The following is a 23932-nucleotide window of genomic DNA, read 5'->3' on the forward strand; positions in this document are numbered from 1 at the left end:
TGCCACTGCACTCCAGCCTGGGAGACAGAGTGAGACTCTGTCTCAAAAAAAGAAAAAAAAGAAAGAAAAGAGAAAGAAAATATGTCATAAATGTAAGACTCTGACTTTCTAGAGAATATTTATGCCAAATAGTATATGAAATGAGCTTTTCAATTTCAACATCACTCCTCCAGCAAGTCCCTAGTTAGATGTACGGAGCCCGGCTGTGTGCGTGGAGGACGGGCCCTCTCTCCTGTCCCATGGGGACTCCCCTCAGGGCTGTGCGTGGTGAATAAGGGCAGCAGATGCCTTGTGGCTTCTCTACAGCTTTGCTCTCAGAGACAGTAGGAGCAGGTTGTCTATGAAACATTCAGATGGATTTGCGAGTCCCTGAAGTCATAAAGCTTTCTTATGTTTAGCATCCGCAGATAAACAGAAAGGTGTGCCAGTGAAACAGAACACAGCTGTAAATTCCAGCTCCAGAAACCACTCGGCTACGGTAATTCCCCACCCTGGCCCACCCTGTGCCCTGCTCCTCTCGCTGTGGCCCCCGCCTGCCCTGCGCAGTGCCCTGGTGCTTCCTTACCGCCTGCTTATCACTGTGTGTCTCCCCCACGCTCCTTGGCGGGGTCTCTCTCGTCCCTGCCGATGCCCAGCTCCCTCTTACCTGTGAAGGACTGGCTTTCTTTTCTTCTGAGGTGGGAGTGGTTGTGCCTTAAATGCTATTCTTGTTTGTAATCCTTATCATTGCAATGGTTTTTCTGCAATGCATGTAAATTCTGTATCAATGCAATCTATTTCATAGAGCCTTCTACTCTCTAACTAATGAATGATGTATTGTCGTGTATTGAAATGAAAGTAGAACTTTGACTTTCCTTCTAATGCAGGGAGAGGAAAGAACACTAGGCAAGTCTAATTCTATTAAAATAAAAGGAGAAAATGGAAAAAATGCTAGGGATCCCCGGCTTTCAAAGAGAGAAGAATCTATTGCAAAGATTGGGAAAAAAAAATATCAGAAAATTAATTTGGACGAAGCAGAGGGTATGTGAACTTTTTAAAACTTCCACGTTTTTAGTAAATGCACAGTTAGTTTCCAGTATAGTCAGTAGATCTGCTTTGAGCTGTCAGCATCTGGGTGACTGCGGTCCGTCCCTGTGGCCTGGAAGACATGTTTCTCCCGGGGGCAGTCTGTGGGCTGTTGGGATCACTCCACCGAAACCCCAGTTTTGAGACTGAGTGCCAGGCCTCCTAGGGCATCAGGGGCAGCCGATGTGAGCAGCACTGTCTGCCCTGAGATGCCAGAGGCCCCCGCAGGCTCTGCCTCCCTCTCACCCCAGCTCCTCCCTATGGCCCCACCACTGGCTTGTGCCAGGGTCCCCAGCGTGACTGGAGGCACAGTTAGCATTAGAGAGTCCACCCTAGGCAGAGCTGGGCACCCAGGTGAGGGGAGGTGGAGCACACTGGTCTGGAAGGACCGTGGGCTTGCTGAGCTCTCTTGGCTGCGGGGGTCAGTGAGGAAGGTCAGCCTGCACACCCCTGGCCTCCAGGAGAGACAACAGGCACACTGGAAGACTGAGATGGAGAGATGAGTCCTTTCTTGAAGCTCCTTTTTCTCCAGAAGTTTATAACAAGGAGAAGCATTGAAAACAGAGTCAAAACCAGCAGCTGTCACCGTGACCTGAATTTTCATCCAGGGCGTACTTGCCAGTCCACCTGGCGTGTCACGGCTTTGTCACAGCTGGCTGTGGAGTCTGACCTCACGGTAAAACTAAAACACACCTCCAGCCTTTGTTGGCCACCGAGCACAAGTAAATCACACGCCCTCTTTGAAGCTTGTATGTTTCTGAGAACCAGTGAAGTCAGAGATTTGAGGTTCCTTGTAGTTGTTAAAAACTCCGAGTATAATTCCAATGCTAGAGAAAGCCCAGTTTAGACGCCATCTACCTCGAATGGTGGCCTTGGGGCCTGCTACACTAGAAAACCCAGCCCAGGTAAGAAAAGGAGAGTTCTGGAGGAGCCAGCCAAGAAGCTGGAGGCACCTGCAGGCCCCCACAGTGGCTGGGCAGTGGGAGGCCCAGGGGCACCCGTCCTGGCCCCTCGGGGCTGTGGAGCTTCAGTGCGGAGAGGGAGAGCACGTGTTGCCCCCCTCTGCCCTAGGCCTGGGAGGACCACCCTCTGCCCAGAGGCAGTGACCCCGAGAGGCAGGCGTGGATTTGAGGGTGCCCCTTCCCAGACCACCCGTCTCAGGGCCTTCCTCTACCACCCCTCCTCGGGTTCATTCTGCTCCCGACTTTGAGGACTGCAGCTGCAGCTGGGACCCGGGCGGGTGCTTCAGATGCTGACCAACCGGAGGAGGGGGCCAGTCCTCAGAGGGCCCCAAGTGTTAAATTGAAAGCCCAGGCCAGAGAGTCCCACAGTTTCCTACTCAGACGGCATCAGCGCGTAACCGTGTTGAGTCAAGCGTCTCGTTTGTTCAAGTCTGGACCTCACACAGCGTGGTTTTTAGGGAGTACACAGCTTTTTCAGACTCCTGAAGACAGAGTATGCTAGAAGCCCCAGGGCTGTCCCTTCCGCTGTCTGTGGGAAGATAGTGTGGACGGAAAAGGGCTCTTGTTGACCCACAGCTGATAGGGTGTTAGGACAGCCCAGGATGAGAGCTTTCTAGAATGTTCTGCGGTGACAGTCATTAATGTGAAACTCTCTAAAACACGGTCACTCTGGGTTTTCTTCCAATAGAGTTTTTTGAGCTTATTTCCAAAGCTCAGAGCAACAGAGCAGATGACCAACGTGGGCTGCTAAGGAAGGAAGACCTGGTGTTGCCAGAGTTCCTCCGTTTACCTCCTGGTTCCACAGAACTCACCCTCCCCACTCCAGCTGCTGTGGCCAAGGGCTTTAGCAAGAGAAGCGCCACAGGCAACGGCCGGGAGAGCGCCTCCCAGCCTGGCGAGCAGTGGGAGCCAGTCCAGGAGAGCAGCGACAGCCCGTCCACCAGCCCGGGCTCAGCCTCCAGCCCCCCTGGACCTCCTGGGACGACCCCCCCCGGGCAGAAGTCTCCCAGCGGGCCCTTCTGCACTCCCCAGTCCCCCGTCTCCCTCGCGCAGGAGGGCACCGCCCAGATCTGGAAGAGGCAGTCTCAGGAAGTGGAGGCCGGGGGCATCCAGACGGTGGAGGATGAGCACGTGGCCGAGCTGACCCTGATGGGGGAGGGGGACATCAGCAGCCCCAACAGCACCTTGCTGCCGCCGCCCTCCACCCCCCAGGAAGTGCCAGGACCTTCCAGACCAGGTACCTCCAGGTTCTGATCCCTCCACCTTGGCCCCGTAAGCGTGGTCTGCTCAGCTTCCAGTCAGAAAGGACAGTGGGCCCCCGGCTGCCACTGTTTGCTGGTGGTCTCCGTGACCCCCTCCTCACCTGCTGGTTGGGGGCTTCCTTGGCCCTCTTGGAAAGGAGGGGCTCGTGTGGCCCCAGGCCAGTGTCTGTCAGGATGGTCCCCCCGAGGCGCTCTGGGCAGGCATCCTGGTGTCCTGAGAGGCTCTTGCAGGAATGATACGTGGCAGTGCCTGCAGCGAGGTCTGGGAACACCCTGGGTGAGGCCTGGGGGTTTCCGAAAATGGAGGCATTCCTTTCCAAATCTGGACAGCGATCGTTTTTAGTGTTTCTGTCTCAAGACTGGAAAACAATAGCATTTGTCTTGAGTGAGGAAGTGAAGCCCGCTGTGTTCATAGCAGGAGAGGGCTCCCAGACACAGGCCCGTCCTCGGAAGAGCCTTGAGAGTGCAGCTCGGACCCACCGGCGGCCCCCGTAGCAGGTGGTGTGGGTGCTCGGGAGTGGAGGTGACGTCAGCAGCGCTCTCTGACCGCGGGTGTCACGGGCATTTCTCAAAGGAAGCAGGGGATTCAGTGAGTGTGAAGGTGAACAGGATGGCCTGGCAGCAGGGATGTTTCCGTGAGCCACAAATACCAGAAACTGAGGCGAGGCTCCCAGCAGCCGGTAGGGAAAGGTGTTTCCAGGGGTCCGAGGGCCGTGGCCTGCGTGGCCATCCCCTGGAGAGAGGAGCCGCTCAGGGTGCGCGTCATGGAGTGTGCTCAGGGGTGCGTGGACACCTCTGCTGTGGTTTGCTGCTGGGGGCGATGGGAGCGCCTCTCCGTCCTGTGCCCTGGTCCAGGATGCTGACAGCAGTGAGAGGCCTGCCGTGAGGTTTGGTCTTGTCAGACCTGTAGCCTGGACCTCGCCGGGGGACCAGGGAGTGCACGTCTGTAGATCTGTACATATCTGGGCCTTTGGAGGCCACGTGTGGCATGGGAGGGGCTACCTGGTCCCTTTCACAGCCAGGACACGCCTGGATGAGAAAGCCTGAGGTGCCTGGCATGCCCACCGGTGCCACTCTGCAGCCTCCACCCCTGGCCTGAGTCCCCCTCCATCCGTCTTGGTGGACACCTGTGTGGCTCTCACCTGCGTTTTGAGTCTGTTCTTCCAGGAGTAATAAATTCTGGACATCATCACTGGACTGGCTTACAACTTTTCTTTCTCATTTGAAACTTTGTTTCCACTTTAGAAAATAATAAAAGTATTTTAATCTAGGGGAAATATCACACATTTTTAGGAGATTAAGTGGATTTACCGTAATCTACTGGCTTTTAAAAATATACCATCCACTGAACAAAACTCTTGAGCACCTGGTGTGCTCCCAGCAGCACAGCTGTGCGGCGGGACAGCAGAAGAGCTGGTGGCCCGGTGGCGGGTGCTGAGATGAGCTGGCCTGCTGGCCTTCGGGCTGCAGTCCCGCACCCACACCCCGGCCCTGCAGCCCTGGGGCTGTGGCTGGCTCTGCGCACAGGTGTGGCGTGTGTCAGGCTGCCTGGGAGGGCCAGACAGACCCACGTGGGGGGTCAGTTCTCCTGCCTGCCAAGGGCCATTAGCACAGAGGTGGTTTACAGCGCAGGCCCAGCTGAGCGCCCCGGCTGACATCCCTGACTTGTTTGTGGCAGGAGGGTGGGTGGTACCGGCCTTGGGAGGAGCAGGTCCCCCTGCGCTCTGGTGGCTGCCCCGACTGCCACTGGCCAGAACTGGTTCCCCGCCCCGCTGGCTCCTCAGCCCCTGGGCAGGTGGGTACCCTGGATCCTTGGCTCTTGGGCTGTCTCCTAGGAGGAGACCCAGTGAGTGGGAGAAGGAGGTGGGAGTGGCTTTGGCCATAGGTCGTAGGTGTGTGTCCTCCACGTGCCTGTCCGTGGCGACACAGGACAACTGCTGAGGACCTGCCCAGTCTTCCTGTGATGTTGGCTCAAGCCTGCTGGGGGGCGTTGGGACAGAAACTGCTCTGTGCAGCTTGCTTCTGGAACCCCCACTCTAATGGGATTCTCTGTATTGGAGAGTTCACCTGCCCATGGCGGCAAAGGAAACAGGCTGTGAATGCCGTGGTGGCCTGATGGAACCTCTTTCACATCTGTGGGCCGGGGCGAGCCTGGACTGAGTGCTGACCTGTCCGTTTTCAGGGTTTAGGAGCTTGGGGGTCATCCCGGGTCACGCTCTCCGACGTTGACAGTTGCTGTGGGATGCTTCCTCACAATGTGGCAGCCGCCCTGGACCCAGCGTCCGGGGTGAGAAACACAACAGGAGGTGTAGCCAAGCCCACGGGCTCCCGCCCTCCCCATTGCCATGGTGGGCAGCATGCCGGCTACGCGTGGGGGCTGCCAGCAACAGCCTTGAGGTAGGGGGAGTCTCCACAGAGCTGTGCCACACCACTTTGCCCTTCCAGCCTCAGTGCCATGCACTGTGCCACCCTGTCCTAGCCCCAGTGCCACATGCCACACCACCCCATCCTAGCCCCAGCACCACGTGCCATGCCACCCTGTCCTAGCCCCAATGCCACATGCCACACCACCCCATCCTAGCCCCAGCACCACGTGCCATGCCACCCTGTCCTAGCCCCAGTGCCACATGCCACACCACCCCATCCTAGCCCCAGCACCACGTGCCATGCCACCCTGTTCCAGCCCCTGCGCCACGTGGTGCTCCACCACGCCCTTCTAGCCTCAGCGTCATGCACCGCACCGCCCCATGCTTCTAGCCCCAGCGCCACACGCCACGCGGCACTCCACCCCGTCTGTCTAGCCCCAGCACCACGCACCGAGACCGAGACCATGCACCATGCAGGCTGGCCGGTGCCCCCATGCATGTCTGGTCCCGGGAGGCATGTGGGTGGGTCTCCTTTCCCTTTGGCCACTTGCTGCCAGGCCACCCAGTCTAATGGCCCTGAGCCTTAGCTGTCTGACACACACAACAGAGGCCTCAAGCGGGAGAAGTGTCAGGCCCCTCGTGAGGCTCCAGGGCACGCTGGCAGAGGTGTGCATGTGTCCACACAGTGCTGTGTGTATGAGGCCGTTCTCATGTTGCTATGAAGAAATACCCAAGACTAGGTAATTTATAAAGAAAAGAGGTGTAATTGACCCACAGTTCTGCATGGCTGGGGAAGCCTCAGGAAACTTACAGTCATGGCAGAAGGCACCTCTTCACAGGGCAGCAGGAGAGAGTACGAGAACCGGCAGAGGAAATGCCAGACGCTTATAAAACCATCAGCTCTCCTGAGACTCACTATCATGAGAACAGCATGGGGGGACCTGCCCCCATGATCCAGTCACCTCTACCTGGTCCCACCCTTGATACCGGGGGATTATCACAATTCACGGTGAGGTTTGGGTGGGGACACGGAGCCAAACCATATCAGTGTGTCAGGCAGATATACCCATGTGCGTGCATGCCTGGTGTGTGTTCGTGTGGCATGTGTCGGTGTGTGCACCTGCCATGTGTCTGCATGGCACGTTTTGTGCATATCTGTGTCTCGACACAGGGACCCTCCAAAATGCTCACCTTCTGTTCTCGTGGGGAGGGAGCAGCTGTCCCTCCAGCACTGCTGTGTCCCGCCTTTAGCAGTCATCTTCCACCCCTGCACAGAAGCAGACGTCTGCGCTTTGTGTTTTCACAAAGGAGAGAGGCATTCAAAAGGTCGCGTGCACCCACACCCGAGTTTCCAATGCACAGTGCTCCTTCTGTACGCGCCATCTTAAAACGGGTTCTTACGGTTGTGTTGGTAATAATTCCCAATTGCTTTCTTAACCAGATCTGCTTCGTTTCCAACAAAAAGCCCGGGAGCTGGGTGGTCTCACTGCTGCCCTGCTGGCTGCAAGGCGACAGTCAGGGGTCCTGGCTGGGGGCTGGAGGCCAGTGGCTCCTCCCAGCCCCTTTGGTAAGGCTGAGTACCCAGCCCCATGGCCTGACTGAGCTCCTGGTGCAGACATCCCAAGAGGATGGACTCCACCTGCCGGCAGGGAGATGCTAGGCACCACCCCAGGAGGGGTCCCCGCATAGCTCTCCTGGGGCTGGGGTCCCCTGGGGCAGCTCACTGGGCGGGCTCAGGGGTCACTCAACCTGGAGGCCCCAGTGTCACAGCTGCCAGTATCCCCTAGGAACACTTTTGGGCCCAGTGGCTGCCCTCAGGGCCCCCGGAGCTCAGCTACCTGCCAGATGTGCGATGTTTGCCTGCCGGGGCTTCTGCAGCCTGGAAGTGAGGTCACGCCCCTCACCCTGGGGGTGAAAGTACCCCCCATGGCATGGCCATTGTGTTGTACCGGGTGAGGATGCAGCCCCACCTGGCTCCTGCTCTGTCCAAGAGAGGCCTCCTCGGCAGCTCCCGTGCCCCGCCCTCCGCAGGAGCAGATGCAGCTTAGACCCCCTCACTCTGATGTGGATTGAGACCGCTGGTTTTCTTGGGGACACAGCCCCAGGAGCCTGCCACTGGTCTCAGGCCTGCAAAGCTGCTGAGGGCATCTGCTAGGTGCCTCTCCAAAGCCCCCTCTCCCCAGAGCCCCCTCTCCCTAGAGCCCCCTCTCTCCAGAGCCCCGTCTCCCCAGAGCCCTGTCTCCCCCCAGCATCTCCTGGCTCCTGCCCAGCTCCGTGGCTCCCCAGGGGATTCCTGAACTGACCAGCTGGCCTCGGCCCTCCTCCACAGCCCCCAGCCTGGTTGTGACACGTGGTCCTCCCGGATCCCACCAGAAGCCACCCTAGGTTGCTCCCCCTCCTCCCCTGAAGTGTCTGCCTTCCACCTGAAGTTCCAGCCAGGTCTTGCAGAGTGGAAGTCTCAGGCCTGCAAGTGACTGTGACCTGGCCTACCCCCATGTTCCCTCCAGGACTGGCCACCTGTGCCCATCTCAGCCCGCACTGCTGGAGCTCCGGCTTGAAGCCCCTCCCTGGGGTCTGCCACATGCACTCCTGTGCCCTCAGTCACCCCCACTCCCCTATTCCCCACTCCCCTATTCCCCACTCACCACACTGTGCACCCTGCTGGGCGCTGTCCACTCCCTCGCCAATGCCCAGCAAATATTTGAGGAGCTCTATCCCAGCCCCAGCCCATCACACACAGTCATGATCCTGGCTGGGGACCCACACGGACAGGGGGACCTTGGGGGGGTCACACTCTGGAACTAAGGTTCTGGGGGTGCTCTCGTTCCCATGGGGGCCCATCAGCAGGAGTGCACAGGCCTTAGCAGGAGCCCGTGGGGTGCGCTGTGGTGGGAAGGCTGGGAAGGGAAGGGGCCTTGGGAGCCACAGTGGATTGTAGGGTCCCCGCCTCTGGCTCCCCTCGCTCCCCCCTTCCTGCCGTGTTCTCAGTGTGAGCCGGCTCAGCCTTGCCTGGGTGTCCTTGTGCCCTGCGAGCTTCCAAGGGGCGCTGGGGAGGCTTCACAGAGGAGGTGGCTGCGCTTGGCAGCACAGATGATGTGGAGCATGGAGGCAGAGGCTGAGCAAAGTGCCTGGGGGACGGGGTCCCTCGGGGGGCAGGAAGGGCGGGCAGTGGGAGAGGTGCCAGGCCTGGGTCTCGAAGGAGAGCCTGGGAGAGTTCAGGCCATGCCCCTGCCCCGGCCAGGCCAGTGCAGCCCCTGCTCCCGCTGTGCCTGCCAGGGTTCCTGACTCAGCTTTGAGGACCAGGGTGGGGCGGGGTCCTGCCCCAGGCCTAGGCCAGAGCAGCTGGCAGTGGCTGGCACAGAGACATTCATGGACAAGTGTCTGGGAGGCCTGGGGGCGACCGGCAGCCGGTGAGGGGCCTGCGCATGTGGAAAGAGGGGCCTTCCTGCTGCATCTTGTGGGGCCTCCAGCAGGACCCCCTCCTGGGAAGGCTGGACAGCACAGTCGGAGCCGGCAGGACCAGCCAGCCGAGGGCAGGGAGCCGTGGGGCGCCGGGGAGAGGTTCACAGGTGGCCCAAGCGGCAGGGAACAAGATCCCAGTGTGGCCTCAGGTCTGGATGTTTGGAGATGTGGCACCAGGAGTGAGACCAGGAGGCCAGGCCCCTCTGGAGGTGGTGCAGGCTCTGCTGGGTCCTCTGTGTTGCCATCCCTGCCAGGGAAATGCTGGGCAAGAAGGTGCTCCCCGGGCAGGCCCTGGCATGTAGGTGGTGAGGCAGCGTGCTGCTCAGGGCGGGGCCAGGCAGCTGAGTCACAGGCCTGGGGCTGGCTGCCCTGCACAGGAGGGCGAGGCTGGCTCCCGTAGGCAGGAAGGGCCTGGCTGTGGCCCCCTCCTTGTGATGTGGACATCCTTGGTCCATACAGAGCTGTCCTGTCTCCAGAAACAAGTGTTTCTCCATCCTGAGCACACTAGCTTCCTGGGGCCCTCAGGGGCCTGTCCTCCCATCTGTCCATGTGGGGCTGGCGGGGTAGAGCCGGGCTTCTGGACATGTGTGGTGTTGCAGGCCCCTTCAGAGCCCTATGAACACTCCAGGCAAATGCCCAAATGCCCACGGTATTGACCGGCGAGAGGGGGCAAACCCCTGCCTCTCCCCACACGATATCTCCCAGCCCTGCAGCCTGGCATCTGGAGCCATGCGGACCTGGTGACAAGAAGGAGATGGGCAGAACTGTCCCCTTGTCCCCTGGGGGCAGGGCTAGCTCCTAGCCCTGGCAGAACCTAGTAGGACACTTGTTGAATGAGCAGAGGCCTGACTGGGAGAAGTTTCTAGTCTCAGCTGCTCCACATGGACCCCTGGGCCTCCAGATGGCATCTCCACCGGGCCTGGCTGAGTAAGACACACAGGCCCCACACAGCTCCCACATGCTGGCTGGGCTGCTGCGTCGAGGCCAGGATGAGGGCCTCTGGGGCCACTGCTGGGACCTGTTCAAGAGAACGGGCTGGGCACGCTCAAGAGGGGAGTCACACCTTCCGCCCGCAGCCCGGACTTGTTCACAGATGCCTCATGGAGGCTGCTTCCGGAAGCTTGGACTGAGGGTGAGGAGGGGCACGCTGGGATTGGGGACCTTGGTGGCCACGGAGCCGCTGGGGCAGCAAGGACCCTGCGGCCATTTCAGGGACCTCAGAACTGTAGATCGAGGAGGGTCTTCACCTTCCCAGGCCTTCGATTCACCTGTGGAGGGCAGCAGTTGGTAGCAGGGACCCCCTGTCCCTGGTTCTCATGTGCCGGGGGCTGGCTCTTCCTGCCTCCTGTCTGCTGTGGGCCCAGGCCTGGGGCTCCTGCCACCCCATAGGCGCCTCAAGGCCTCCACCCTGGCATGGACATGACTGTCTCAGGGCCTCAGCCCCAGGCTCACTGAGGAAGGGAGCTCCTGGACCCCTGCCTAGGAGACACGCTAGGTACGCAGGAACCTGCCCCCGAAGCCTGCTCCTCTGGGTCGGCAACGTCACCCCCACCGCACAGATGGGGGGGTGGGGTCACTGGGCGGGTCGGCAACGTCACCCCCACCGTACAGATGGGGGGGTGGGGTCAGTGGGCGGGAAGGGCTGGGCTCTCCCAGCACGGGGGCTTCACTGCCCCTTCCCAGGCCCTGGGGTCCTGCCATGGAGCTCCGGGCGGCACATGAACCCAGCCATTCTGCGTGCACCGTTCACTTTCCTTGGCCCCAGCCTTCGTTGGCCCCTGGGGACTCCACCCTGGCATAGACACAACTGTGTCTTCCAGGGGTCCACGTGGAGGTCACCAGATGTGGCAGGGCAGTGACGCCCTGGGTAGGGAGGCCTCCCGGGGGTGCTGGCAAGGAGATGGCCTGCCCATGTTGGGTCTAGAAGCTTCCAAGGCCGGTTCAGGCAGCCGGGATCTCCTGGGGCTGGAGTGGGCATTGGAGCCAGAAGTGGGGCAAGAGTCACTGACCAGCCGGAAAGAGGGGCCTCAGTAGGGGGGCCAGGGATGGAGGGGGAGGGGACACGACCGGGAGGCCCAGAGCAGGGTGTGTACGGTGAAGACGGTGCTGAGGCAGCGAGGCAGGTGGGCGAGCAGGTGGCCAGCCTGGCAGGGTGGGATGGGGCAGCAGACACAGGGCTCAGGGCCCGTTCCACCAGGCCAAGAGGGTCCAGCCTATCTGGAACTGAACCCTAGTGCTCAGCCCCCTGGGGGTGGCCCTTGAGGATGGGCCCTGGGCCTGGGGGGGCCCCTGAGGACGCCCCCAGGAGGAATTAGGGGGGCAGTTGGGGCGGGGGCTCTGCCGGGGGCCCAGCTCTGTTCCTGAGCTGCAGTGGGGAAGCAGGGTGGTAGGGTTTCTGAGTGGGTCGGCTCCCCCACTTGGTGGCAGGTGTTATGTGGAGGGCTCTGGGAACACTGCACCTCCCCTGGGCGTACCTGCCCCAGCCTGGAGGCCCACAGCGGGACGCCAGCTGCCTCTGGGATGTGTTTGGGATATTTCAGGGACCCCTACCATGCTGTCTGTGCAGGGGCCTTCGGGGTAGGGGGTGGGTTCCGGGGGCCCAGGGCCGGGCCAGGCAAGTGACAGCTTCTCTTCTCCTTGTGACAGGAAGTGGGACCCATGGCAGCCGAGACCTCCCAGTCAACAGAATCATCGATGTGGATCTTGTAACTGGCTCGGCGCCCGGGCGGGATGGTGGCATAGCGGGGGCACAGGCTGGCCCTGGGAGGTCGCAGGCCAGTGGTGGGCCTCCTACATCAGACCTCCCTGGCTTGGGCCCCGTCCCGGGTGAGCCTGCTAAGCCCAAGACCAGCGCTCACCACGCCACCTTCGTCTGAGCTGCCCTGGCCTGGCCAACTCTCCTGTGGACATGTCGGGGTGGGGCAGCCCAGGTGGATTCTGTGGGCCTCAGGGGGGCCACCCTGGCCACCACACCCTCAGGAGCCCAGCCAGGAGGGCAGGGGGTGACCTCGCTGGAGGCACTGGCCCCGGACATTCGCCATGCTGGCCATGGGGCTCCCTGGCCCTGGCCTCCTGCTGCCCAATAAAGCATTTCTGAGGACCCAAGCGTCGGCCTGGTGCTGGGTGCTGGGGACACAGACTCCTCGTTCTCGGGGACTCCGAGCACATCCCCAGGAGGTCATGCAGGAAACAGAGGGGCCTGAGGAGGAGAAGTGCCCCAGGGTAAGGTCAAGGGGGCTTTGAGGAGAGGGAAGCTTGGCTCCTGGGGCCTGAGGGCCAGGACCAGATGGCAGAGACTGGCTCTCGCCGTCACGTGGGGACCCTGCCCCAGCCTTGTTTAGCAGGGTGGTCTGAGGGCCTTTCTGGGGAGGGACCATGTAAACTGCAACTGGACGGCAGAGGAAGTCTAGAAAGAGCCCTGGGCCTGTGCCAAGGCCCTGGGGCTAAGGAGGGTCTGATTACAGAAAGGGAACCAGGTGTGGCTGCAGGGGAGGCCGGGGCCTTGGGGGCTGGGTTGAGTCGGAAGAGGCAGGGCCATTCCCCAGGTTGCCTTGATGGAACCCCTAAAGCCAAGTACCCTCGGTACAGGGTGGTTGGTGAGCTCCTCAGACCATCCTAGAGGCCCGAGAGCACAGCCAGTCCCCTGGGGCTGTTCTAGAAGCTTCCAGGGAGTGGATGCACCCCACTTAGTGGTGCTCTAGGAAGGGGGCTGGGGGAGGGGTCGGAATGGAAGATGAAGCCCAGTGCCAGCTGTGTGTACCACCCACCACAAGCCCGCATCCATCCTGCTCCCAGCACCCACCATGCCTCCACATTCACCGTGCCCCCAGGGCCCACCATGACCTCCCCCCCAACCCCCAACCCCCCATTCACCGTGCCCCCAGCACCCACCATGCCTCCACATTCACCGTGCCCCCAGGGCCCACCATGACCTCCCCCCCAACCCCCAACCCCCCATTCACCGTGCCCCAGGGCCCACCATGACCTCCCCCCCAACCCCCAACCCCCCATTCACCGTGCCCCCAGGGCCCACCACGCCTCCATGTGCACTGTGCCCCCTGGGGCCCACGGTGTCAAGCTGGGTGGTCAGTGGGTGTCCATTCTCTCTCCCTCTGCACAGACAGGCAAATGGGGGGCAGAGAGAGGGGTTTTAGGGGATACAGGGAGGCAGCTTCAGCCCTCGCTGGTCTCCAGGCCACAGTGGTTCACTCACCCCTCCTCCCACCTCGGCAGCCCTGGGATGTCGCTGCTGACTCAGGAGGAACCCGAGGTGCCGTAGCGGCTGCTCCAATATTGCAGAAGAGGTTCCTCAGGCAGCTCTGCCCACAGCCCCAAGTCACGAATTCCGTGACTCCAGCTCCATCCCAGGCCCCAGGGTACCTGGCCCAGGGTTGTGCTGCCGCAGACTTGGCCTGTACCATCCAGGCGGCGGTGGGGAGCTGGGGTTGGAAAGGCTTCTTGGAGTGGACTCCTGGGTCTGTCTGGGAGACGGGGAGGAAGGGACACTCTGAACATCACCAGGGGCTGCTGGGGGGCCCTGGCCACCCCCAGAGTCAGAACAGGCAGGTGGGGCAGGATCTCAGGTCATCCTATGCTACACTCAGCCATTGCGTGGCCCCTCTCCTCCCTGTGCCTGGCCTTTTGGCCAGCCCTGGGGCCACCGAGAGGATGCAGCACCGAACCCTCCAGGAGCCCCCAGTGCTGCCGTCTGTGGGACAGGGACAATCCCATCCCCACTGCTACTGTCTGTGCTGTGCTGGGCACAGAGCTGGACACCTCCAAGGCCCAGCGCCCGTAGTGGCTCTCATCATGGACAATTCACAGGCAGATGGTGGCCAGCTCTGTGGCCTGCAGGGACTGGGAGCGGCGCCAGACCATCTAGGCCCCAACCTATCTGCATTATCCTGGAAGACTTCCTGGAGGAGGCTTCTAAGCTGAGGCCCAAGGACCATGTCAGGTCTAGGACTAGGACCAGTGCAGGCCGAGGCCAGAGAGACAGCTGGGCTTCCAGGTAGGGTCAAAGTGAGGTGGGCAGCAGGTGTGGGGGCCAGGGGACTCGGGGACTTCCTCTCCGGCTGGGCCCGCCTGACGTGGGAGGCAGCCAGGGTTAATCATTTCCACGAAGCCTTGACCCCACCTGCCTTGGCCGCTCTGCTCCCGCCTCCCACTGCCCCTCAGGCCAGCTCAGGAGCCATGGGGCGCTGGGCCTGGGTCCCCAGCCCCTGGCCCCCACCGGGGCTGGGCCCCTTCCTCCTCCTCCTCCTGCTGCTGCTGCTGCTGCCACGGGGGTTCCAGCCCCAGCCTGGCGGGGTGAGCACTGACCTTGTCGCAGTGCGACCAGAGGTTCCCAGTGGCTACTTGGGGTCCTTGGGAGGAGGCCAGAGGGAGGGTCGCCACAGAGCGTGGGGATTTGAGGGGGCGGGGGTCCGAGCAGGGGGCTTACGTTGAAAGCTGGCCCTCACAGGGCAGGTGGGTGCTGGACTGGCCTTGGAGGCTGGGGCCTGGGCTCACGGAGCCCCACCTGGGGGCTGTCATCCCTGTGCGGCCTGGCCTGGGCCCCTATGGGTCTGGGGGCTGCCCCCTCTCTCTGGACCTCTGTTGGGTCTGGATGCGTGAGGTTGGGGGAACCTCCCAGGGCCTCCTAGCTGCTCCCATCACCAAAAACTGACGTCAGGGTTTAAGCTTGGTGGGTAGCAGTGCCTGGGCCTGGGCAGTGACCCTGAGCAGGTGTTAACTAGGGGCCGAGGGCGGGGAAGGTGTCAGGGCCTGGCTGAGGCCTCAGGAATGTCGTGTGTCCTCCTGGAACCTGCTCCGAGATCTGGGGGCCCCAGTATGGAAACAGGCTCAGGGCTGTGACCTCCTGCCCGGCAGGACCTGAGTGTGAGGGTCTGTCCCACACTGACACCCTTTCTGCTCCTCCTAGAACCGTACGGAGTCCCCAGAACCTAATGCCACAGCGACCCCTGCGATCCCCACTATCCTGGTGACCTCTGTGACCTCTGAGACCCCAGCAACAAGTGCTCCAGAGGCAGAGGGACCCCAAAGTGGGGGGCTCCCGCCCCCGCCCAGGGCAGTTCCCTCGAGCAGTAGCCCCCAGGCCCAAGGTGGGTCAGGTGGGCCTGGGAGGAGGTGTCGTGCTTCACCTTAGGGCTGGGTGGGAGGAGCATGGCTGCGGCTGGAGGTCCTGAGGGGCTCGGGTGCCCCTCGAGGGAGCCCTGACCCTGCCACCCCCTCCCCACAGCACTCACCGAGGACGGGAGGCCCTGCAGGTTCCCCTTCCGCTACGGGGGCCGCATGCTGCATGCCTGCACTTCGGAGGGCAGTGCACACAGGAAGTGGTGGGTCCGGGCAGCCGGGGCACCCGAGCTGGGGTCACCTGCCCCACGCTGCCTGCTTTTCTGGGAGCCGGGCACACAGTAGGCGCTCACCACGCAGCAGGCGGACCCAGTGAACCCAGAGACCCTCCAGGGTGGTGGGGTGGGGTGGGGGGCCTCTGCCTGGGACCCCCATGCACGCAGGTGTCGCCCCCCAGGTGTGCCACAACTCACAACTACGACCGGGACAGGGCCTGGGGCTACTGTGTGGAGGCCACCCCGCCTCCAGGGGGCCCAGGTGGGTGCTGGGTTGGGTAGCCTGGGGCGGGCAGGGGGCACTGGGCCAGGCCAGAAGGGCCAAGGGGAGGATGGGGCGGACCCGGGCAGGGGTCCTGGCTGGAGGGGAGCAGAAGAGGAGCTCTGGGATTAACCCCGGTGGGTGCCACTTAGGGCCAGAGCCTCTCCCAGGTGGGACCTGCGTCTCATGGTGGCTGCGCGGCCATCGCTGGGGCCAAGGCGCCGCCTGGTGGTGAGGCCGGGCCCTGCAGCCACACAGGCGTGCCCCAGGCAGGGGACAGGTGGGCAGGGTCTGTGGGGTGCGGTGCCAGCCGCCCTGCTCACATGGGTCCTGGGACACATGGGAGGGGTCTGCTGCCTGACAGTGTGGGTGTCAGGCTTCCAGGAAGCCACGTGCACAGCTGGGCCAGTGGCCCAGGTGTTGAGTGGGGGACGCTGGGAGGAAGGGGAGGTCTGTGCCCCTCCCAGGGACCTTGCACCCCGAGGGGCGTAGAGAGGGCCCCTTTGCTCTCAGAGCCCCTCACTGGGGCCTGATGGACGCCTTAGCAAGCAGAGAATGTCACAGAGGGACCCTGAGCCTCCCAGTCCGCCCCTCACACCCCCTCCCGCATGTCCCCAGCTGCCCTGGATCCCTGTGCCTCCGGCCCCTGCCTCAATGGAGGCTCCTGCTCCAATACCCAGGACCCCCAGTCCTATCACTGCAGCTGCCCCCGGGCCTTCACCGGCAAGGACTGCGGCACAGGTGAGCTGGGCCTCGGAGGTCCGCAGGGGTCCAGGGGCCGGAGCAAGTCCCCGGAGGATGGGAGAACAGGTGGCTCCCGAGTGCAGGGCAGGGGCCCTGCACGGGGACAGCAGGTGGCAGGGTGTGAGGGCTTACTGTGCACCCCTCAGAGAAATGCTTTGATGAGACCCGCTACGAGTACCTGGAGGGGGGCGACCGCTGGGCCCGCGTGCGCCAGGGCCACGTGGAACAGTGCGAGTGCTTCGGGGGCCGGACCTGGTGCGAAGGCACCCGACATACAGGTGCGCCACGGGGTGTGAGCCGTGCCACTGACCCCTGACGGGTGTCCCTGTCCACACCCGAGTGGGAGGAATGGCCTGAGGTCACCCAGAAACAAGGGACAAGGGGTGGACCCCGGCCCCGACTCCGCTGTCGTGGGGCACTGCGCGGCCCCTGGCCCAGCTCCTCGGCCCTGCCCCCAGCTTGTCTGAGCAGCCCTTGCCTGAACGGGGGCACCTGCCACCTGATCGTGGCCACCGGGACCACCGTGTGTGCCTGCCCACCAGGCTTCGCTGGACGGCTCTGCAACATCGGTGAGTGGGTCAGCCCCCCGGGGTGCCCTGGGGCAGTGCCGGGTGGACCCACCGTGGGCCGGCCTCACTGCCCCTCTGCCCGCAGAGCCTGATGAGCGCTGCTTCTTGGGGAACGGCACTGGGTACCGTGGCGTGGCCAGCACCTCAGCCTCGGGCCTCAGCTGCCTGGCCTGGAACTCCGATCTGCTCTACCAGGAGCTGCACGTGGACTCCGTGGGCGCCGCGGCCCTGCTGGGCCTGGGCCCCCATGCCTACTGCCGGTCAGCACCACGCCGCTCCAGGCCGCCGCATGCGGGGCAGGCAGGATTTGTCCTGGGGAGAGGCCCCCCGGCTCCCTAGGACCCAGGCGGGGCCAGCTCCGTCCAGACAGGCCCCGGAACCTCTGCCTGGGAGGCTGCCCGAGGGAGGGCCACTCTCTTCCCACTGCTCCAGGTGCGGGGAACCGCCCTGCTGGGGGTTCCGATGCCCCCTCCCCATGCCCTCTTCGAGGGGCAGTGTGACTCCCTGCCAGCCCCCACTTATGCACCGCAGGAATCCGGACAATGACGAGAGGCCCTGGTGCTACGTGGTGAAGGACAGCGCGCTCTCCTGGGAGTACTGCCGCCTGGAGGCCTGCGGTGCGCGGCTGGCGGGGGGTGCTGCCTTGGGCCCCACCGAGGTCACAGCAGTTTTCCCCGTGATCCTCCTAGCCCCTCCGCACACCTGGCTACTGCATCTCTGACAAATGGGGAAACTGGAGCTCACGGGATCAGGCTGGTCCAAGGTCACGCAGTGGGTCGGTACTGGGGTCACAGTGGGGAAGCAGCCCGCTGCAGGGGGCTGGTCACCAGGCGACGGCCTCGGGGTGGCACCTGCCCAGCCTGGACCATGCCCAGGATGGCCGCAGAAGCCTTTCAGGGAGGTGCAGGGAGGGCAGCGTGCAGGCCCCCCAGAGGCCACCTGCTTCCTGCCCTGGGGAGAGGCCCCCCGGCTCCCTAGGACCCCGGCGGGGCCAGCCCGGGGCTCTCATGTGGGGGTCTCTGACTGTGCTGGGGCTGGCTGTGGGGTTCCGGGCTGCTGAGGGGGCCACAAAGGCCTCCGTGTGTCCAGCCCCTCTGGCCCTCACAGAGCCTCGGGATCGGGCATCAAACCCCATTCTACAGATTTGGAAACTGAGGGCAGAGGTGAGTGGGCGCCAGGGCCTGAGCAGCGTGGACAGGGGGTCCGGCCATGGCCCTCTGCAGCGCCTCCTGCCGGGTAGGGCCTGTGTGTGGAAGGGGGCTGGCCCTGTGAACCCCAGGGGTGTGACCCGGTGACCTTTGCTCCCAGAATCCCTCACCAGAGTCCAACTGTCACCGGATCTCCTGGCGACCCTGCCTGAGCCAGCCTCCCCGGGGCGCCAGGCCTGCGGCAGGAGGCACAAGAAGAGGACGTTCCTGCGGCCACGTATCATCGGCGGCTCCTCCTCGCTGCCCGGCTCGCACCCCTGGCTGGCCGCCATCTACATCGGGGACAGCTTCTGCGCCGGGAGCCTGGTCCACACCTGCTGGGTGGTGTCGGCCGCCCACTGCTTCTCCCACAGGTGCACCTCCTCTGGGCCCCAGTCACCTGCCCTGAGGCCCCACACACCATCCAGCGTCACTATGCGCCTGTCCCCACCCGCTTGCGGACCCCATCCCGGTGCCTCTGCTGACCCCTTCCCGGGGTCCCCGGTAACCCTCTCTGACCCCTCTGGGTCTTGGGGCTCAGTCCTGAGCTGGGCATGCATGGACACTCCAGAAACCCTGTCCCTATTGAGGGAGGCCAGGGGTCAGTGGCATTTCCACAGAGGACCCAGCGCCTGCGGAGAGTGCAGTGGGCCAGGTCCTGTCCTCCCCGCAGGCCCCGCCCCTCCCAGAGTCCTGGCTCTCAGTAGGGAGCCAGGGAGCGCAGTGACAATGCGTCAGAGCCCTAGGAGCCCAAGCACAGCCAGGGAAACTGAGGCCCAGCCCACTCAGCCGGCTCCCCTCAGTGGGGGCGCACAGCCACCCAGGCCCACACTCTGGGAGGCGGGCCTCGAGTGGGGAGACCCTGAGACGGAGCAGCCTGGGCCAGACGCCCTTCCACCTTCGATGGGCACCCCAGTGATTAGGGGCAGGGGTCCGGCCAGCCGAGGGTCTGGCGGCCTTTCGAGGACCACAGCTCCCAGGGTGGGGTCCTGCGTGGCCCTGCAGAACCTGCAGCCGGCGGCTCCTGGGCCTGCAAATGGGGCCAGAGCCTTCCTCAGTGTGGAGAAATGGGGTTCCCCACATGGAGCCCAGGGCAGGAGGCCGAGGCAGGGTGGAGCGACCTCCACACAGCAGATGGGAGCCAGGCTCAGGGGCCCAGGCTCTGTGCCCAGCAGGAGTGAGGGCTGCATCTGGGGACCCCACAATGTGGATGGAAGCTGGGGCAGGGCCTGAGCAGGCCAGGTCTCCACCCACTCGGGTCGGCCTTGCAGCCGATCCTGCCTGGGCTTGGCCTGAGACTCCCCCCAGGGCTTGTGACCAGTGTTGTCAGGAGGGATGGCACCGCACTTCAGCTCCCATGCCTGGATCTGGGGGTGACTGGCAATAGCCCCTGCTTGGTGGTCCCTGTCTCCCCAGTATCAACAGCCCACACCCAGGCACCTGCTCAGACCCCTCCCCGGGACCAGGGTCCCACACCATTGGCCTCCGTGGGCCTGACAGGGGGTGGGGAGAGGTGAGCCCGGTGGCTGGGGGAGGGCTGGTCCATGCAGCCTCCAGCCCCCCTTGCACAGCCCCCCCAGGGACAGCGTCTCCGTGGTGCTGGGCCAGCACTTCTTCAACCGCACGACGGACGTGACGCAGACCTTCGGCATCGAGAAGTACATCCCGTACACCCTGTACTCGGTGTTCAACCCCAGCGACCACGACCTCGGTGAGCTCCGGCGTGTCGTGGCTGCACTCTGGGCAGGTGGGCCCTGTGCTCCCCAGGCCAGGCCCAGACAGGGGCAGGAGCTGGGCAGACATGTGGTGCGGGGGAAGCTGGGGGCAGGGCAGGGAGGACAGGGCACCGCTCCCTTCTGGATCTCCCAGGCTGCCCTGTGGACCCCACTGGCTACCCTCCCTCCACCACGGGCCCCGACAGCCTCCCGTTCAGCCCGCACACCACAGGCTGACCCTGGCCACTCTTCTGATCAGTCCTGATCCGGCTGAAGAAGAAAGGGGACCGCTGTGCCACACGCTCGCAGTTCGTGCAGCCCATCTGCCTGCCCGAGCCCGGCAGCACCTTCCCCGCAGGACACAAGTGCCAGATTGCGGGCTGGGGCCACTTGGATGAGAGTGAGTTGGGAGGGGGGCGCCCAGCGCCCCGCCAGGGTGGACAGTGGCCAGCCACAGTGTGGGTGTCACGCTGAGGGCATTGTGTCCCACAGACGTGAGCGGCTACTCCAGCTCCCTGCGGGAGGCCCTGGTCCCCCTGGTCGCCGACCACAAGTGCAGCAGCCCTGAGGTCTACGGCGCCGACATCAGCCCCAACATGCTCTGTGCCGGCTACTTCGACTGCAAGTCCGACGCCTGCCAGGTGAGCTGGTGCCCGCCCCACCAGGACCCGACTGGTGGGGGCTCAGCTGGTCCTGAGTCTCCGAGATGCTTGCCCCTGGGGAGCCCAGAGCCTGGCGGCACCCCAACCTGGCAGGGCCAGCCAGGGACCCCTGGGCAGGGAGCACACTTACTGTCGGTGGCCAGCACCCCAGGGCCACCCAGAGCCCTGCCGGAAGGGCATCCTCCTCACACAGAAGGGGAGACCCAGGCTCTGAGAGGGGCCTGGGGTCCCACAGAGCCCGGACAGTTCCTGGCTGTCCAGCCCAAGGCAGTGCTTTCCGTGTGACACTAGGCACCAAAGGCCCCTTTGCCCCGAGTTCTCTCAAGCCAGCTCTTCAACCTTCAATAAGTTCTTCAACCTTCAATAAGCCCAACAGCCCAACCACGTCCTGGGCTCTGCAGGCCTGTGTGCTCAGGCGGCACGGCAACCCTGGCATGCGACGGCTCTCTTATGCCCCATTTTATAGCTGGGGAGACTGAGCCCCAGGCAGTCAATTCACTCTTCCAAGGCCACAAAGCCCAGGAGTGGTAGAGTGGGTAGGGCTTGTCACTGGACCTCGATAAGGGAAGTCAGGATGGTTTCCTGGAGGAGGGAGTGTTTGCACTGGTCCTGAGTGATGCGTAGGAGTTTTCCAGGGAGTGAAGAAGTCATTTCAGGAGGTGCTGGGACACAGGGTGGCTGTGTGGTCCACACAGGGTTCATGCTGGTGGGGAGAGGGGGACCGTGGCTTCAGGAAGGGGAATAACGTGGTTGGATGCCCTGGCCCAGCCAGTGCTGCCCCCAGGGAATGAGACACCTTTTCATGAGGTTCAGGAGAGTGGATCAGCTCCCTTGCTCAGAAATGCCTTTGTCCTCTGTCCCCAAGCTGCCACTTGGGGGAGAGGGGGGTCCCTGAACCAGGCCCCTGGGAGGGTGGCTCTGACCAACGTCTCTGCCCAGGGGGACTCAGGGGGGCCCCTGGCCTGCGAGAAGAACGGCGTGGCTTACCTCTACGGCATCATCAGCTGGGGTGACGGCTGCGGGCGGCTCCACAAGCCGGGGGTCTACACCCGCGTGGCCAACTATGTGGACTGGATCAACGACCGGATACGGCCTCCCAGGCGGCTTGTGGCTCCCTCCTGACCCTCCAGCGGGACACCCTGGTTCCCACCATTCCCTGCCTTGCTGACAATAAAGATATTTCCAAGAACCCGGCCCACGCTGCCTGGCCCCTGCCTGCGGCCCCGCCTTCCCCTCCAGGCCATGACTGGGGCCCAGGTCTATGCGCAGCAGGCCTCAGGCTGCCGTTCTGGAGCGCACACAGTCCTCAGTGGAGACGGAGCCTGTGGCCCCACAGCGGGGTCTGGCCCCACGGCCCAGAGAGTTGTCAGGGGATGAGGTCTGGGCCTCTCCAGGCCCCAGCAGAGTCCAGCCCCCTCCCAGGCCAGCCCCAGGCCGGGGCTCAGCACCTGGGTTGTCCCAGGGCAGGAAGTGGAAACCAAGTCCAGGCCCCCAGGCGTGGAGGGGTCCGATCCGCGTGGTGCACGGAGTATTGAACCTGAAGAAGAAAGAGCGGCCCCACGGGAACACCCGCAGGCCGTCGTTGGTCTTCCAGATGGCAGCCCGCCTGCCTGAGCCTGGGCTGCACTTCCCGGGAGGGAGGAGGCCACAGGCTGCCTCTGTGGGGGCTGAGGGAGGGAGGGGCCCATGTGCTAGATGGGGCCCAGTTAGAGGGTCACTGCTGGGCAGGCAGAGGCCGTACCCTCCCTCCAGCCAGGGAGGACAGGAGACAGGGGGAGGTGGGGCCAGAGGGCAGAGAGGGCGGGAGTGTGGCTGGTGGGGGTCAGGCCTCCTCCCTGCTTCGAGGCACCCAGGACCTTCTCTCCTGCGCCCCACCTCCTTCCTGGCGTCCTGGTCTCGGGGAGGCAGTGGTTTGCAGTTACAGCTGTTCCCTTTCGTCGGGAGCCCCTTCCCCAGCAGATTGGCGCCGCCCCAGGCTGTACGGAGGCTGGGAGGGCAGGAAATGGGGCATTGGGGCCACACAGTTACCGCCCCAAGCAAAGCCGGGTTCTGAGCAAAGAGGGAAGAGAGACATGGCCAGGCCCTTCTCCCCACGGCCCCTGCTGCTGTGCATGGGCCTCAGAGCCTTCGAGCTCACGGAACGAACTTGCCACTGAAGACCCCTGCCCCTGCCACAGTGTTGGTGCAGCCTGGGCAGTGGCTGGGGGACTGAGTCTGGCACCTGTGCCCCAGGATCCTGAGAGTGGAGCCGCTCTTCCTCCTGAGTGTGGGGGCCTCCAGCAGCTGGTTCTGGGGCTCTGAACCTCATGGCTTCAGCCCCGCTTCACCCACATCCGATGTGAGCCGTCCCTGACCCTTCCGCCATGAGCGGTGAGCATTTTCACATGCTTCCTCAGCCTCTGTTGAGATAAATGTACACATTTTCCCTTTGGCTTCACTAACATGATGACTTCCATGATAGGTTTCCTTCCTCCCTCCCTCCCTCCCTCCCTTCTTCCTTCCTTCCTCCCTCCCTTCTTCCTTCTTTCCTTCCTTTTCTTCCTTCCTTTCTTCTTCTTTCTCTCTCTCTTTTTCTCTCTTTTTTCTTTTTTCTTCTTCTTTCTTTCTTCTTTCTCTCTCTCTCTCTCTTTCTTTCTTTTCTTCATTTTTTTTCTTTCTTTCTGAGACAGGGTCTCACTCTGCCACCCAGCCTGGAGTGCAGTGGCGCGATCTTGGCTTACCACAACCTCTGCCTCCCAGGCTCAAGTGATTCTTCTGCCTCATCCTCCCGAGTAGCTGGGATTACAGGTGCCTGCCACCACGCCCGGCTAATTTTTGTATTTTTAGTAGAGATGGGGTTTCACCACGTTGCCCAGGCTGGTCTTGAACTCCTGACTTCAAATGATCCGCCCAACTCGGCCACCCAAAGTGCTGGGATTACAGGCGTGAGTCACTGCGCCCGGCACATGATAGGTTTTCTAACTCAGGTTGGCCTTGTATTCCTCGAGTGGACGGTATTGAGCTGAAGTGTGAGCTGGGGTCTTCCCTTTGCCCCTCCCACTTGTGCCCTGCTTGTTCCCGTCGTGCTCTGCCGCGGGAGGCTGGCCTCTCTGGTCTGCAATGGGCTGTGCACTCTCTTGTTTCTTGTTGGGCTATTGGGAGATCAGAGGCAGGGGAGAGAGACTGGGCATGTATTTTCCTGGCTCCCTTTCTTTGGGGTCAGTCACCTCAGTGTTTCAGGTGGAATTATGTCCTTCTAGAATTCATATGATGACTGGGCGCAGTGGCTCACACCTGTCATCCCAGCACTTTGGGAGGCCCAGGTGGGAATTCAAGACCAGCCTGGG

General features: G+C 63.0%; 2 protein-coding genes across 21 annotated transcripts in view, besides 7 other annotated features; both read left to right on the plus strand.

Moving 5' to 3' along the window:
- Nucleotides 1-12222, plus strand: part of RGS12 (regulator of G protein signaling 12) — a 154023-nt gene extending 141801 nt beyond the window's left edge. For 11 of the 18 annotated variants that reach the window (NM_001394155.1, NM_001394154.1, XM_011513543.3 and 8 more), the window contains 4 exons: nt 399-478; nt 867-1020; nt 2716-3264; nt 11764-12222. In NM_001394155.1, the coding sequence (NP_001381084.1) occupies nt 399-478; nt 867-1020; nt 2716-3264; nt 11764-11993 (1013 nt within the window). In that variant the 3' untranslated portion in view covers nt 11994-12222. Of the gene's footprint in view, nt 1-398; nt 479-866; nt 1021-2715; nt 4482-11763 lie in introns of those variants that run through there. The other 7 variants (NM_001394157.1, NM_001394158.1, XM_047416060.1 and 4 more) reach the window with 2 other exon arrangements.
- Nucleotides 5377-5878: an enhancer, noted in NCBI's record as "H3K4me1 hESC enhancer chr4:3434795-3435296 (GRCh37/hg19 assembly coordinates)". NCBI's record gives its function as "activates a minimal SCP1, AML or CMV promoter by ChIP-STARR-seq in naive and primed H9 embryonic stem cells {active_cell/tissue: H9 hESC(naive and primed)}" and the evidence as "EXISTENCE:reporter gene assay evidence [ECO:0000049][PMID:30033119]".
- Nucleotides 5879-6378: an enhancer, noted in NCBI's record as "H3K4me1 hESC enhancer chr4:3435297-3435796 (GRCh37/hg19 assembly coordinates)". NCBI's record gives its function as "activates a minimal SCP1, AML or CMV promoter by ChIP-STARR-seq in naive H9 embryonic stem cells {active_cell/tissue: H9 hESC(naive)}" and the evidence as "EXISTENCE:reporter gene assay evidence [ECO:0000049][PMID:30033119]".
- Nucleotides 6754-7652: an enhancer, noted in NCBI's record as "H3K4me1 hESC enhancer chr4:3436172-3437070 (GRCh37/hg19 assembly coordinates)". NCBI's record gives its function as "activates a minimal SCP1, AML or CMV promoter by ChIP-STARR-seq in naive H9 embryonic stem cells {active_cell/tissue: H9 hESC(naive)}" and the evidence as "EXISTENCE:reporter gene assay evidence [ECO:0000049][PMID:30033119]".
- Nucleotides 7653-8551: an enhancer, noted in NCBI's record as "H3K4me1 hESC enhancer chr4:3437071-3437969 (GRCh37/hg19 assembly coordinates)". NCBI's record gives its function as "activates a minimal SCP1, AML or CMV promoter by ChIP-STARR-seq in naive and primed H9 embryonic stem cells {active_cell/tissue: H9 hESC(naive and primed)}" and the evidence as "EXISTENCE:reporter gene assay evidence [ECO:0000049][PMID:30033119]".
- Nucleotides 9097-9597: an enhancer, noted in NCBI's record as "H3K4me1 hESC enhancer chr4:3438515-3439015 (GRCh37/hg19 assembly coordinates)". NCBI's record gives its function as "activates a minimal SCP1, AML or CMV promoter by ChIP-STARR-seq in naive H9 embryonic stem cells {active_cell/tissue: H9 hESC(naive)}" and the evidence as "EXISTENCE:reporter gene assay evidence [ECO:0000049][PMID:30033119]".
- Nucleotides 13314-21795, plus strand: HGFAC (HGF activator). Of its 3 annotated transcripts, NM_001297439.2 has the most exons (15): nt 14277-14427; nt 15041-15221; nt 15359-15455; nt 15650-15729; nt 16348-16470; nt 16620-16751; nt 16932-17042; nt 17128-17302; nt 17574-17659; nt 18185-18205; nt 18351-18603; nt 19801-19940; nt 20204-20344; nt 20437-20585; nt 21546-21795. In NM_001297439.2, the coding sequence occupies exons 1-15, from the start codon at nt 14311-14313 to the stop codon at nt 21726-21728; spliced, it is 1989 nt and encodes a 662-aa protein (NP_001284368.1). In that variant the 5' UTR covers nt 14277-14310; the 3' UTR covers nt 21729-21795. The 3 variants fall into 3 exon arrangements, with proteins under 3 accessions (XP_047306111.1, NP_001284368.1, NP_001519.1); XM_047450155.1 differs by lacking the exons at nt 14277-14427; nt 18185-18205 and adding an exon at nt 13314-14128; NM_001528.4 differs by lacking the exon at nt 18185-18205.
- Nucleotides 15807-15856: a silencer, noted in NCBI's record as "silent region_15205". NCBI's record gives its function as "represses an Ori minimal core promoter by ATAC-STARR-seq in GM12878 lymphoblastoid cells {active_cell/tissue: GM12878}" and the evidence as "EXISTENCE:reporter gene assay evidence [ECO:0000049][PMID:35858748]".
- Nucleotides 21364-22167: an enhancer, noted in NCBI's record as "H3K4me1 hESC enhancer chr4:3450782-3451585 (GRCh37/hg19 assembly coordinates)". NCBI's record gives its function as "activates a minimal SCP1, AML or CMV promoter by ChIP-STARR-seq in naive H9 embryonic stem cells {active_cell/tissue: H9 hESC(naive)}" and the evidence as "EXISTENCE:reporter gene assay evidence [ECO:0000049][PMID:30033119]".

This window comes from Homo sapiens, chromosome 4 (assembly GCF_000001405.40).
Source record: "Homo sapiens chromosome 4, GRCh38.p14 Primary Assembly".
NCBI classification, from domain to species: Eukaryota; Metazoa; Chordata; class Mammalia; order Primates; family Hominidae; genus Homo; species Homo sapiens.

Coding starts and splice junctions, on each gene's coding strand:
- HGFAC (NM_001297439.2), top strand. CDS start 14,311: ATGGGGCGCTGGGCCTGGGTCCCCAGCCCCTGGCCCCCACCGGGGCTG. Junction 18,206..18,350: donor TTTGGAAACTGAGGGCAGAG/GTGAGTGGGCGC, acceptor CTTTGCTCCCAG/AATCCCTCACCAGAGTCCAA. Junction 20,586..21,545: donor GCAAGTCCGACGCCTGCCAG/GTGAGCTGGTGC, acceptor GTCTCTGCCCAG/GGGGACTCAGGGGGGCCCCT.